Raw genomic sequence first — 14,528 nt, forward strand, 5'->3', positions numbered from 1 at the left:
CCTAGATTCAGGTTCCCCAAGGGTGTCAGCTACTGAGTTTCAGTAGTTACGTTTCTGTGTGCTTTTCGCAAGTAAATAATTTTTACTAAAGGTTTTAAAATTTTAAGTATTTTTATTTTAAATTACTAAATAAATATTTTATTTGAATCGACTAAAGTACAGGGATTGCCCCTTTCTGTCACTTAGCTCTTCTATAAAAATATTGTAATGTCTTGTTGATAAATATTCTGACTGGGTCAGGGTCATATTAAGAATCTATTTGAAAGATGTGAACAGATTTTTATAAAAGGTCAGAGTCTGAAACAAGGAGAGGTAATTTTGCACTGTAGAGAAAGATCAGCCTGGGTGTGGTAGCTGACGTGAGTAGAATGGGCTTTTGGTGGCCAGAATGCTAGTGAAGGAGTGCCAGAGGCACGTTGCATTTAATTAAAAATAATCTTGGGTGCGATTCTCATGCCTCTTTGCCCTTCTACTTCTTTGAGGTCAAATTGGCAAACATAGTCTCTTTGGAAAATGGTCACATGAGGGAGGGACACTCTATTGCCTGCTTGTTTCTGTAGTAGCAATAGTCTTAGAAATGATGCTAGCATTGGTGGTGGTGGTAGTAGTAGTAGTAAAGATAGTAATAATTGTAGTAGTAAAAATAATAGTAATAAAAGAATGACGACAAAATAGCTAAGCTTTTACAGTACTTTCCATTTACCAGGCACCATTTTAAATGTTTTGTATATGTTAAATGATTTCATAACTCTCCTTTGAAGTGGGTACAGTTATTACCTGTATTTTATGAATGAGGAAACGATGGTAATACAGGATGGAGCGTAGTTGTACCTCCTGGAAATCTGCCTAGAAAGCCTAGAGTGACCCTGTGAACCAGCTTCGATAATTCTAGGAATTCTGTTTTCGGCAGGAATGTCTCCATTGGAATCGTAAAGCTCTTCCACTCCTTCAGACTCAGGACCTATTATTTGGTCCCTTTTTGGAGGTTATGTCTGACTCTATTTCTGAACTTAAAAGAAGGTGCTGGCAAATGGTATTTAAGCATTGGCATATTTTAAAAATTACATATAATTTAATATAAAAGTAGTAATTACTACATACATTTTCAAAAATAAAGAGAAGAAACATTATCAGCTAAAATCCTGTCATCGGAGATAATCATTCTTTAATAGTATTTTTTTCTCTACACTTATATGCTTGTATTTAAGATCATGCTTTAAATACAATTTAATGTCTTCCTTATTCTGGTTAAAGAATATATGTGTTGCCTTATAATATTAAAAATTCTTCAAAAAAGATTTACTCTTTATAACTTTTAGTGCCTATTTAACATTCAGCTATTTGAACTTTCCACAATTTAGTTAATAATTTTAAAGAATACATTTTATTATAAATAATGCTGTAGCAAATGTAATTTGAAATTTATGTCTTAAAAAGAGCACTGATTGTGACTTTATCATCATCTTAATACAGGGTCTGTTGTACAAACTAAATCCATAAGACTGAAACCCTAGAACAGTGAAGAAGCCAGTAGTGGTCGTCCTTGACTACCAGCCATTATCAAGTAGTCAAGTAACAGCTTGTTCTAACTTCTGGAAAGGGAACTTAATGTTCAGAAGACTGCTATTCTAGAAAAAAGAGTTCTTGCAGTTCAGACTTATTTCTTGAGCACATTGGACTCTACGTCTAATTATTTTAAAAGATGACATAAGTTATTCTTTTTCTGGCTGGATGTCAAGTGCTTGCCAGTTAGTACTTTAATAGGGTGAAAGAGGGAATGGCGGTTCCGACGGAATGACAAGCCAGTACTATATATAGGTTATTCCTTCATGTTGCACCTGCTGACAGTTTGCACCGTCCAAGTTGCTTGTTTCCTTTGGGGATGTTGCCTTAGGAATAGGACTGAGATTGTTTTAATGAGAAAGAGTTTAATGGTGTTATGTTGAAGATTGGCGTTAGTGATTCAATATATATTTCTCTTCCCAGAAAATATTGAGGTTCTATATGGATTAGGTATTACTGACAGTCCAGTTTATAAAACAACTAGTTTACAGATTATTCTTCACCCCAAGTTTTTATCATGTAAGCCTGGAAATTGGTTATCAGTATATAATAAGTCAACCAAGCATTCTCTTGAAAGTGCCAACTCGTTTTGACGGGTAATTCACCTTGAAAGTACCAAAGTAGCTTGAACAACATTTTTATATTTTTGATGAATTCTTATGAAATTGTTTTGACACATGATTTCATCCGGTGAAAAGGATGATATATATGGCAGAAAATCTGTCATTTGGCTTCCAGATTTAATTAGCCTTATTGAAATCCTCAGTTGACGTTTAAGTCAGCATTTTATGTTTTTCTAATTTTTTTTCTTTTGTTTTTGTTATCTTCCTAGATAGATGAGGGTGGTTTGGGTATGTATTTTTACTTTGGTTGTTTGAACATGAGTATTGTTCCTTGTTAAGATTTGTAGAGCTTATGAATTCCTATGTGACTGTCAGTGACAGCTTGCTCACTCTTCTCCACTTCAAGCAGTTTCAGTGATTATGAATGTTGTTTTTGTGAGTTTTATTTTTAATCTACTAGAAATTTGTCAAGTTTTGAAACATTGATATTTATACAAGTGCCTGTAATGCCATGTATTTTATGTTGTTACATATATTGTTGCCTTCAGATAGAGCTGAACTCTTATTTGATTTACAGTTTGTATTGAAGCAAGGTACAATTTATAGTTATTGTTTTCTTAAAAGTCTTATTTAAAATGAATTCAGTTTCTTTGTATCAATGGAAGATTGCTATCAAAGGTAATTTAAGAATGGAGTGTATGGGGTGAGAGAGAATATTTGCCATAGGTGAATATAGAAACAGAGCAAACTGTGATGTGTTTTTTCAGATCTATGAGTGAAGCAATTGTGGACACTGTTGTAAGGTTGTGTGCTGCATAACTTTATGAGGTGCTGATTACACCCATAGTCATTGTAGGTTGATTTATTAAAATAATTGACAGGCAGAGGGTAGTAAGAAGAAGGAGTTTTTCCTACATAATATTTTCAAAGGCATCATTTGCAACAGCTGTGGGGCTAGACAGCAGTAGATGAAGATTATCTTATGAGGTTGCAGATTTAGAAATGGTTTTCTAATGTACCTTTGCTTTATGCTATTGTACCTAATGGATAGGAAAACATTGACAATTTTCATTGCCCCTAATTACCCTAAATCAGTATATTTAAAAAATTGTAATAGAAATTGTGGAATTTAAAATTTTGTCTAAAATTACCCCATTCTATGAATGATGAAGCTTATTTCCTAATAAAGTCACAATATGATAATGAACCAACATATTATTTTTTGCCTGCTGACTTCCAGAAGGCTAGGAATTTATTAAAGATAGGTTCAGGCTGTATTTCTAAATGTGTATCTAGCTCTTTAGATTATTTGTTAAAGAAGGAGATAGTTTACCTAGGTTTTATGTTAACTCATTGAGTTAGAGTCTTTTTCTACTAATTTATCAGTCATTAAAAAACCTATTTGCAAAAGGAGAAAAAACAGTATACAATTTTTATTTTGTGGGGAGGGAGTTGTGGAGTCTTACTCTGTTGTCCAGGCTGGAGTGTAGTGGCACAATCTCAGCTCACTGCAGCCTCCGCCTTCCACGTTCAAGCAATTATTGTGCCTCGGCCTCCCAAGTAGTTGGTATTACAGGTGCCTACCACCACATCCTGCAAAGTTTTGTAGTTTTAGTGGAGATGAGGTTTCACCTTGTTGGCCAGGCTGCTCTCGAACTCCTGACCTCAAGTGATCCTCCCACCTTGGCCTCCCAAAATGCTGGGATTACAGGTGTGAGCCACTGCCAGTTTTTTGTTGTTGTTGTTTGTTTGGTTTTTAAAGAGACAGGGTCTCAGTCTGTCATCTGGGCTTGAGTGCAGTGGCGCAATCTTAGCTCACTGTGGCCTCAACCTCCTAGGCTTAACCCATCCTGTCTCCTCAGCCTCCCAAGTGACTGGAACTACAGGCACACACCAGCATTCCCTGCTGATCTGAAAAATATTTTGGGGGAAAGATGGGGTTCTTGCTGTGTTGCACAGGCTGGTCTCAAACTCCTGACCTCAAGTGATCCTCCCACCTTGACCTCCCAAAGTTCTGGGATTACAGGCATGAGCCACTGCACCTGGCCTGTGCTAGATATTTAAGACATGAACCATTGTTATACAGAGAAACTCTTTTTATGTTGGTCACAGTCTTAAAAAATCACTGCTATTGAAATGTTTAGTCTGATTTTCTTAATAAAATCAATTTTATCATAGAAGTCTCAAAGGAAGGGCCTTTTAATAGAAATAGTCATGTGTACCATATTTAATCATAAACAACATCTTTATTGCTCTGATAGTTTAAAACTTTTTATATCTTTTATATAGAGCATTTGGAGAGGAATCTCTTCACTTTCTTTTATGTGGTGACCAGGTAGGGACTGTAAGGTTGAAGGGAAATTAATCCCAGGGTAGCTATTAGTCTAGGAATTTCCAAGATGCCAATAGGAGGTTGGTAATTAAGGCTGGAAACCGGAGAGATTAGGACAAAGACTATACAGAGAGTGGAGGCTTCTCATGCATGGACTCTAGGGTCTGAAATACCAGGTTATTTGGGCATCAGACTTAGTAGGCAAAATAATCTATACTACAAGTGTGTTAAGAAATTTTATCTGTCACTGAAAATGTACTGGCAGTGGGAACTGCTGTACTGTGAAGTGCCATCAAAATTGAGGTTTGCTTCAAGGGCCCTTTCCATGCTTATCTATGGATTATCCTGCTCATTTTAAAACATTAATTGAAACATGCATTGACCACACTCCTACTGTGTGGTCTCTACACTGAGTCCTGGAATATTCAAAGGAAGCAAGATGATCTACCCCTGCCATCATGTAACTTAGTATCTGCTTGGGGCGATGAGGCGGTTGCATAGGAAATAGAAAAAATTCCCTGAGTGTCATTGAACAAGTAAGTTGTACGGTGTAAATTGACATGGCAAAGACCATACAGAATGCAAAATCATTTCAAAGATGGGTATTTTAATGTATGTGGAAGGTCATCAAGGGTGGCTTTTAAGGGGGTATTTTCTGAGTTGGGTTTATAGTTTAGATTGTTGGAAAGTGGTCAGAAAGAAAATGTGGACATGATAAAGAACATGAGTGATGGCACAGAGATAGGATTCAGCGAGGACAATTCAAACATAACCAACAGCTTGAGTGAGGGTAAAAGAATGAGATCAATTTATCTAGAATGCAAGTGTAGTTTAGGGAGTGAAATAGTTACAGAAGCATTGGTAATAGTGGCATTGATGAGAGCTCTACTTTACAAAGCTGTATAACTTGGTTGGAAAGCTGGGACTGTTGGTAAATTAGGTCTCAGGTAACACTGGCAGAAGGTTGAAAGAAATGTGCATATCATGTATTTGCACCACGTTGACTGTGTCCATTTACAATTAGTGCTTCTCCTTCATTGATACCAACTGTATCCATAATTTAAAAATTAAAATTGTGCTGTGGTACTCTTAATAATCACATTTTAAATTACAGCTGGCAGTTATAATGAGAATAAGTGGAGAAACAGGACATTTAACTAATCAGTTTGGAGAGGCTGAAATACTATTCTCATTATGATTCTCGTGACAAACAATGAGCTACTTGAGTTTAAAAATCGCAGGCCTACTTTCTGCTTGCCGGTGCTGCGTGATAAGTTAAGTGATTGCTCTGAGAGCTTGCAAGGTTTTTTTTAGTAGTGAAAGGAGGTAAAACAATGGATGAGTGGTTCTATGTGGCAGAGACTGAAGACAAATTTACTTGTTTGTTTTCAAGTGGGATTATTTATTTTAATTTTGATTTTGATTTTAGATTTAGGGGGTACACGTGCAGGTTTGTTACAAGGGTATATTGCTTGATGCTGAGATTTGGGTTTGATTGAACCCATCACCCAGATAGTGAGCAAAGTATACAATAGGTAGCTTTTCAATTCTTGCCCGCTTCCTTCCTCCTCACTCTTGTAGTCCCCAGTGTTTGTTGTTGCCATGTTTATGTCCATGAGTACCTAACGTTTAGCTCCCACTTATAAGTGAGAACATGTGATACTTGGTTTTCGGTTTCTGTGTTGCGGCCTCCAGCTCCATCCATGTTGCTGCATAGGACATGATTCCATTCTTTTTTAAGGCTAGTAGCATTCCATGGTGTATATGTACCACATTGGCTTTATCCAGTCCACCACAGATGGGCACCTGGGTTGATTCCATGTCTTTGCTATGGTGAATAGTGCTGAGATGAATGTGCAAGTGCAGTTTTCTTTTTGGTAGAATGATTTCTTTTCCTTTGGTTATATACCCAGTAATGGGATGGCTGGGTCAAATGGCAGTTCTATTTTTATTTCTTTGAGAAATGTCCAACCTGTTCTCCACAATGTCTGAACTAATTTACATTCCCACCAATAGTGTATAAGCGTTTGCTTTTCTCCACAGCCTGTCCAGCATCTGTTGTTTTTTGACGTTTTAATATAGCCATTCTGACTGGTGTGAGATGGTATCTCACTGTGGCTTTGATTTGCATTTCTCATAATTATTGATGTTGAGCATTTTTTCGTATGTTTATTGGCCACTTGTATGTGAAGACAAATTTAAGTGTTTCTTATTTCATGTAAAGAGCTATATAGGATTAGAAAATCGTATTCTTGAAAGAGTACACATTTGTTATAAGTCATACAATGACTTACTGGAGATGCCTTAAGGAGTATGGCATTTTAAAAATAACTCACTAGTGAATTCTGTTACAGAAGGGTAACTTTATTGGACATTAAACATATCCAAAAGGCATAAAGATAAGTGAGGGATGGAGTTCTGGAAGTTGTGTATTCACGTAAGATTTACTTTCAGGTATTGGCAAAAATCACAGCTGGAGTGCAGATTAAGCATGGTAGGAGGGTGGTGATTGGAGAAGGAATGGAGGGGAAAAAGGAAAAACTACAAATCATGTTAAAACTGTCCTCATTGAGTTTTACAAGTAATATACTGGTCTTATATACCCTTTCCTCCTACCGTGGGAAAATATCACTAACTTGTAATAGGATTAAATGAGGCAATACGTAAGCTTTTTAGACATTTTCTTTATAGAGAACATTATTAGAAGTTGTTGGCCTGGCGCAGTGGCTCGTGCCTGTAATCCCAGCACTTTGGGAGGCTGAGGCAGGCAGATCACCTGAGGTCAGGAGTTCAAGAACAGCCTGGCCAACATGGTGAAACCCCTTCTTTACTAAAAACACAAAAAAATTAGTCGGGCTTGGTGGCACAAGCCTGTAGTCCCAGCTACTCGGGAGGATGAGGCATGAGAATCGCTTGAACCCAGGTGGCAGAGGTTGCAGTGAGCCAAGATCACGCCACTGCACTCCAGCCTGGGCAACAGAGCGAGACTCCATCTAAAAAAAAAAAAGTCGTTTTCTTGAAAACCATAAGACTTTATTTAATTCATATTTGGAATGGCCTAAAGTTAGATGATGGCAGAATTAGTAAGGGCTACTAAGTGTGTAAGAACTGCTTACCTTAGGATTTGTCTTGTGCAACTCATTATCATGTTATTTTTGCAGAAGCAGGTGATTGGGCCCTCTAATTGGCCAGTTAATGAAAGTACTAGGTTAGGCAGGGAGCCATCTGTTTTAACCTAAAAATGTTCAGTTTGATCTATGCATATATGTATAACTGAATCTACAACTGAGTTAAAATATACACATGTGCATAAATATATATTTGTTTGTGTGTATGTGTATCAGTTCATCCTCTAGGACTTGACTCTGTTCCCTAAGTCTTCTGCACTTATTTACCCTGCACCTAATCCAGCAACAGGTATAAAAAACTGACATACCCGTATTAGTTTTACAAAGCATTAACCTATGAAGTAATTATTAAGTTAAGTAGATAGTTTATCAAGAATGGGCGGTATATGTATTGTTCTTTTTAAGATATTAATGTGTAAAACCTAATCACTACAAGGGATAGTGTCCCAACTGTATCCTTTTTTTTTTTTTTTTTTTTTTTTTTGAGACGGAGTCTTGCTCTGTTGCTCAGGCTGGAGTGCAGTGGTGCGATCTGGGCTCACTGCAAGCCCCGCCTCCCGGGTTCACGCCATTCTCCTGCCTCAGCCTCCCGAGTAGCTGGGACTACAGGCACCCGCCACCACGTCCGGATAATTTTTTGTATTTTTAGTAGAGACGGGGTTTCACCGTGTTAGCCAGGATGGTCTTGATCGCCTGACCTCATGATCTGCCTGCCTCAGCCTCCCAAAGTGCTGGGATTACAGGCGTGAGCCACCACGCGCAGCCATAACTTTATCTTTGAAGAATTGTTTACCAAAAGGATTATTAAAAGTTATGAGCAAAAATGACCAGAACTGATTTCTAAAATCAGACATTACTCCAGGTTATTAGTCATGTCTTTTCAAGAGATTCCTTACCTTAGTGCTTAGTCCGTACTAATGAGCTCTTTTATCCTGACTTCTGTCCTAAACTGCTCACCTGCAATGTTTGATATGCGTATACTTCTATCTTATTTGTCCTACAAATATTATTGATTGCTTCTTATATGCTTGCTTAGAATGTGGTGCTGAACTAAAAGAGAGATCCTCCTCATGTGCTATCAAAGCCAAGAGATAAAAAGTGTTTTGAGAAGGTTCACTTTGTCTAGTGCTGCAGGGACATTCAGTAATGAGAGACATAACCTTTGGATTTAGCAACTTGGGAGTCCTATGTGACCTAACAGGACTAGTGTTAGTGGAGTGGCAGAGCTGGTTGAGGAGACAATGGGGAAAGAAGAATTGGTGAAACAGAAAATTTCATCATATCAAAAAATTTCATTGTGAAGTAGAGCAGGGTGGTGGCTAGGACTTGTAAAGTCAAGAGGGGTTTGTTTCTTCAAAGTTAGGAGACACTAGCACGTGTTTGTGTGTTGATGGAAATGATCCAGTTGAGAGAGGTACAAAGGTGATACAGGACAGAGGGGAGGTACTTGCAGAAGTGGATGAAATTCCCACAGTGGGGTGGGATGGGGTGGGGGAGGTGTTAGCTTTTGAGAGAGCAAAAGCACTTCATGCTCTTTTATAAACTTAGGATGAGAGATGTAGGTCAGTTGGTAGATTTGGGAATTCCGTGATTTCCTGCTGCCAAACATAAATCCACACTCCTTGGCGAGACATACAGGACAGCTCAAAGTGCTTCCAGCTTGCGTTGCTTCCAACACGCTCTACAGTTACTGATCGCTGTGGTCTGGACATACTTTTGTCTAAGCTGTTCTGTCTGTCTGGGATATCCACCACATTGTTATCACCTTCCCCCTACTCTGTGAATTTCTTTGGGAAGTCTACCCTTGTATTCCTGTCAGGATTAATCATTCCATATCCATACCAAGCTGTGAGATTTTCAAAGGTGTGGGCTCTATTATTCATCTTTGCTTCCCCAGTGCCTAGGACACAGCAGGCATTTAATAAATGTTTGCTAAATTCTGTTGGGTCAGAATTATATTTTTAACTTGACCTTTAAAAAAATCACTTTAAAAAGTTTGACAATATTATGATAACATATTCCCTTTTAGAAATAACTTTTCAGTAACCTACAATTTATTTAATGTCAGGTTGATATAGAGGAGAAAACCAGGGAAAAGAATGAGGTTGGAAGGTAATGGAAGGAGGAGTCTGGGGAAAGCGTATGAGAAATTGATATTGTTCGACCCTTGCAGGGATGTAGAAGAGGAAAAAAGGCAAATGGTGTTGGCTGGATATTGGTTTTCTTACTATGTTAGTTGTAATCAGTTTTGGTTGCAAAAACCAATTGCAACAACACAGTAGGACCCAATTTTTCTCTCACAGAAAAGGACCCTGGGAGTGGATGGTTCAGGATGGTTTGGTGGTGGCTGCAAAGGTGAAAGGTTACAGGCTTCCACCCTTCTTCTCCGCTTGTGCTAGCATGTGGCTTGCATTTTCAGGGTCAGTTCGTAGCACAGATGGCTGCCAAACCCCAGCCATCATGTCTGCATTGAAAGCTAGAAGCAGGAGGAAAGGCAATAGAGCAAAGTTACCTTTTCCATTCAAGACAGATTGCTTGAAGTGTCATTTCTATTTGTATCTCATTGTACAGAATGTGGACAGTAGTAGTCATGTGGCTACTTCAGGCCACCCAGGATCCTGGGACATGTAGTCTTTTACTCTGCAACGTGATGTGCCCTGCTAAAAATAATAATATAAAAACTATCCTTCTAAGGAGAAAGAGGAAAATGGATATTGGGGCAGGGAACCCACGGTCTCTGTTACACCTGCTGTTCAGTTTTCCCCCTCACTCTCAGAGTGCATTAATTGCCTATGCTTACATTCTACATTGGCTTAGCCACGCTCCTTTAGCTCTTATATCATCTGTAATTCCTATTTGTCCTACTGAAAGTTGACTCAAGTCCTGGTATTCCTGTGACATATATAAGGCAAAGGCTTAAAGATCTTAAGGAAGTGCTGGGAGAGAATTCCAAATAAGGCAAAGAAAATGATGAAACAAATATCAACTTGGTTCAACTAGAGTTGATGATATTGAAGGGAAACTTTAGCTACACTAGTTTTAAGTATATTCTACTTTAAATGTAAAATAAGGTAGGTCTCTAAAGAAGTAAAGTGAAATATGTAAATAGTCACAGTGGTATATATTAAAATATTCCCCCTTCGGATATTAGTCATAATTTCTGCTTCAGTATGAAATACCTTCATCCTGGAACACTAACATGATTTTTAGCATCATTTAGAACCCTCTTTCCTCTTGTACATCATATTCCGATGTGATACCTGATGCACAGAGCAAAGCTGTTCTCTAGAGAGAGAGAGGGTTCAATTGCTGGATCAAGTTGGGAATTTGGTTGCTATAACTACAACATCGCAGATGTGCTGTACATATAAATGCAGGCTTCTGTGGCCTTTGGAACACTGGGATTGGTAGTGTCTTAACACAGTAAGTAGCCGTAAAGAGAAGGACTCATATTTTTTGTGTGTATAGTTGATGGAGTTCCACAGGTCACCTGGTGCTTCACGTGTTCAGTTAGGGCATTGTTTGTGATCCTTGCTATAAATGAGTGTGTGATAGTTCATCCCAGAAGTCCTGGTTGCAGTGATGTTTATATTTCTCTTGAAGAAATAAATAATGCTATATTTCATAAAGATTTTAGAGTCTGATGTTTGTGTCAATGAAACACAGTATTGTTTTTCTCTGGAAAATGTTTCAGTTGGTTACCCACTGCTAAGTGCTAAGGAACTCATAACTCTTGTCTGTGCCCCGGTTGTTTTTGGAGAAGGGATAGAGGGATGTGTGAGTTACTGTTTCACTTGTATGAATTCAGGGTGTATCTTAAAATAACATAGCAGCTAAATTTGTTTTTGTTTAAGAAAGTGTACTCTCTGTATTGGGGTCGCTAACAGAAAATAACAAGAGTAAGAATATGGTTAAAAGAAGGATTGATATGTGAAGGAAATTATACTCTGGGAAATTGGAATGTCATTATTAAGATAAAAATGTCCAATTAATCATAGTTCAGGGACACTTTTATTATGAGTTGAATTATATATATATATATATATTTGAAGACAAGAAAATCATATTTTGAAATGTTGAAGGTGACTTTATTCTGTATTATGTACCCACTTAATTTTTTCCATGTATTGTAAGCTGTTTGACAGTACTCGTTGAAATAATAGTGAAGGAATAGCTTAGATATTTATATTATTGCTTTTTTAAGTGTAAGAATTTAAATGTCATGTGGTTTTTAAAAGGATCTGCAGTTATTTTTTATTACCAATTAGTATTTTGAATTGTGAGTCCAAAATATTTAAAATACTGTCTTAGATGTTTCTTACGGCGTTATAGGGGTTACATATTTTTGCTATTAAATAGAAAATAGAATTTCTGCTATCTAGTGTTCGTGTATTTAGAGAGCTACACGAACATTAAATCACTGTTTTCTTAGTTATACTTCTATCTACTTTATTGAGTCAGATATTTCAAGATAATCTTATCTTTTCTTGATGGCTTACCTTTTCATGTTTTACAACTAGAAATTGCTTAGAATGTAAGTGTAATTTCCTTAAGATAACTTTGCTATTAATTAAACATTTTCAGATAGTTTTAAAAATGAGGGCAATGGTTAAAATTTGTCAAACACATTGTTGTGTTTTATTATTATTTTATGGTTCATTAGGGTAAATTTAGAAAACAGTCATTAGGCAGACTTAATTCAGTTTTACACACAGAAAAACCTCAAGTTAAGAAATTCCATTTCATTAGGCTAAATCAGATACATTTTAGGATGAACGTGTATATACTCTAGCGTATACGTATCAGAGACATATATGTTTGCCTCTCTTCTTGCCATGATGGATATAGTCCAAGATAATAATTTAGTTATTACTCAGAATCGTGAGACCATTTCTGTTTACCTCTTTTCATCTTATCTTGAATTTTAACTTACATAATTTTGGGAACACAACTAAAGAGTTGGCTTTGAATAAGATATTCCAGATTTTATAGCCATTATCCCATTTAAGTGAACTTTTTTTTTTTTTGAGACAGAGTCTCGCTCTGCCACCCAGCCTGGAGTGCAGTGGTGTGATCTTGTCTCACTGCAACCTCCACCTCTCAGGCTCAAGTGATTCTTGTGCCTCGGCCTCCTGAGTAGCTGGAATTACGGTCATGTGCCACCACTCCCGACTAATTTTTGTATTTTTTGTAAAGATGGGGTTTTGCCATGTTGGCCAGGCTGGTCTTGAACTCCTAGCCTGAAGTGGTCCGCCTGCCTTGGCCTCCCAAAGTGCTGGGATTACAGGCATGAACTACCACGCCTGACCCCATTTAAGTGAACTTCTAAAATCCCTTATGTATAGGAAATTTTGTGTTTGAAAGCATCATTGTGGCTGAAACAGATTTTTTTCATTGATTATCTATGTCAGAACATAAAGTAATTTTAGTCTTTCAAATATAGTAGAGAAGAGCTGCTTGATTACCACTCAAGCCCAAGAAGCATGAATTTTAATTTTTCTAAGAACGTGCTTGTGGGACAGTATATAGAAAAGACTTTAGAGTCTTTGTGTTAGGCAATAAAGATGGTTTGAAGATGACATGGGGCAAGACTTTCAAAGTAATTGCCCAAGGTAGAGATTTTCAAACCAGGCAGTTATTAGATTTGCCTGGCTTAGGATGGGCAAAGTACTGAGTCCCACGCCCTAGAGATTTTGGTTTGCCACATCTGAGTTGGACCTTAGACTCTCTTGTTTTAAAAGCATACCAGCAGGTGGTTAATCAGATTCGAACAGAGAGGCTGTAGGTGAATGACTTTAAAATCGATGTGTAACTGTTTTAAAGGTAGAGCAATAGAAGAAGAGAATCCCTGGAAGATCTGGTAAAGTTGAAACCAGAGACAGGAACCTTATCTTAATGGTCTCTGTGTGCCAAAGCTAAGGGCCTGACTAGTATTTCCATGGAAAAAGAAGTTGATGGAGCATAATTTAAAAGGGCTAATTGGTGGAATTTAGTGACTGAAGGTTCAGACAAGGGAAGAAAAAAAGTAAAAGATGGCTTCAGATCTTTGAATTTGGATGTCTACAGAGCAGTTACTTTGACAGCTATAACCAAATCTGGAGGGAATGAGGTAGGTGGGTATCAGAGTTGAAATGAAGATACTTGATTTTAGGCATGTTTAATTAATGCATTAACAAATAGGTGGGAGCTACAGGGGATATAAAGAGATAACCTGGGTCACCTGAGAAAGGTTGTAGATACAGGGTAGGGTAGGTGGAGAGTTGGGTAAATAGAAAGAATACCAGAGGAAAAGAGGAGTACTTATAGCCATGTCAGAAAGTAACAAACAGGGACAGAATTTGAAAACTTTAAAATTTTGCTGTACCGCCCAACCCAGTGCAGAGTTGTCTCATGGTCTATTTTAGCAAGCCATACAATATGTTGTCAATCCTTATATAAAGTGGATGCCAGATTTATAAAATTACTGAATTTTGTAAATGAGGCAGTATTAATCTTTCACAAAACATTAATTTGAAAATGATTGAGTTGCTTTCATATTTTGGCTTCTACGAATATTCACGAATGTCTGTTTGTGTGGGTGTATGCTTTCCTTAATGTCTTGGAAAGGTACCTAGGGGTGAAATTGATGGATAGCATGGTAAATGTATGTTTAACTGTATAAGGAACTCCCACACTGTTTTCCACAGTGGCTATAACATTTTTTATTCACACTAGCAGTTTATGAGACTTGTTTGCCTCACATCCTTGTCAACACTTGGTGTTGTCAGTCTTTTTCATCTTAGCTCTTCTAGTAGATACGTGGCAGTATTCTTACTGTGGTTTTTATTTTGCATTTCTCTGAAGATTAATGTTGAGAATTTTTTCATGTGTTTGTTGGCCATTTCTATATCTTGACAAAGTGTCAGTTCACCTCTTCTGCCTGTTTTAAAAAATTGGATTATT

The 14,528-nt window shown here is 37.4% G+C and overlaps 1 protein-coding gene across 2 annotated transcripts in view; it reads left to right on the forward strand.

The window, feature by feature from the left end:
* RAPGEF2 (Rap guanine nucleotide exchange factor 2) overlaps positions 1-14,528 on the forward strand; it is a 257,095-nt gene that overhangs the window by 108,225 nt on the left and 134,342 nt on the right. The gene's annotated exons all lie outside the window — the stretch shown is intronic.

The sequence above is a fragment of the Homo sapiens genome, chromosome 4 (assembly GCF_000001405.40).
Source record: "Homo sapiens chromosome 4, GRCh38.p14 Primary Assembly".
NCBI classification, from domain to species: domain Eukaryota; kingdom Metazoa; phylum Chordata; class Mammalia; order Primates; family Hominidae; genus Homo; species Homo sapiens.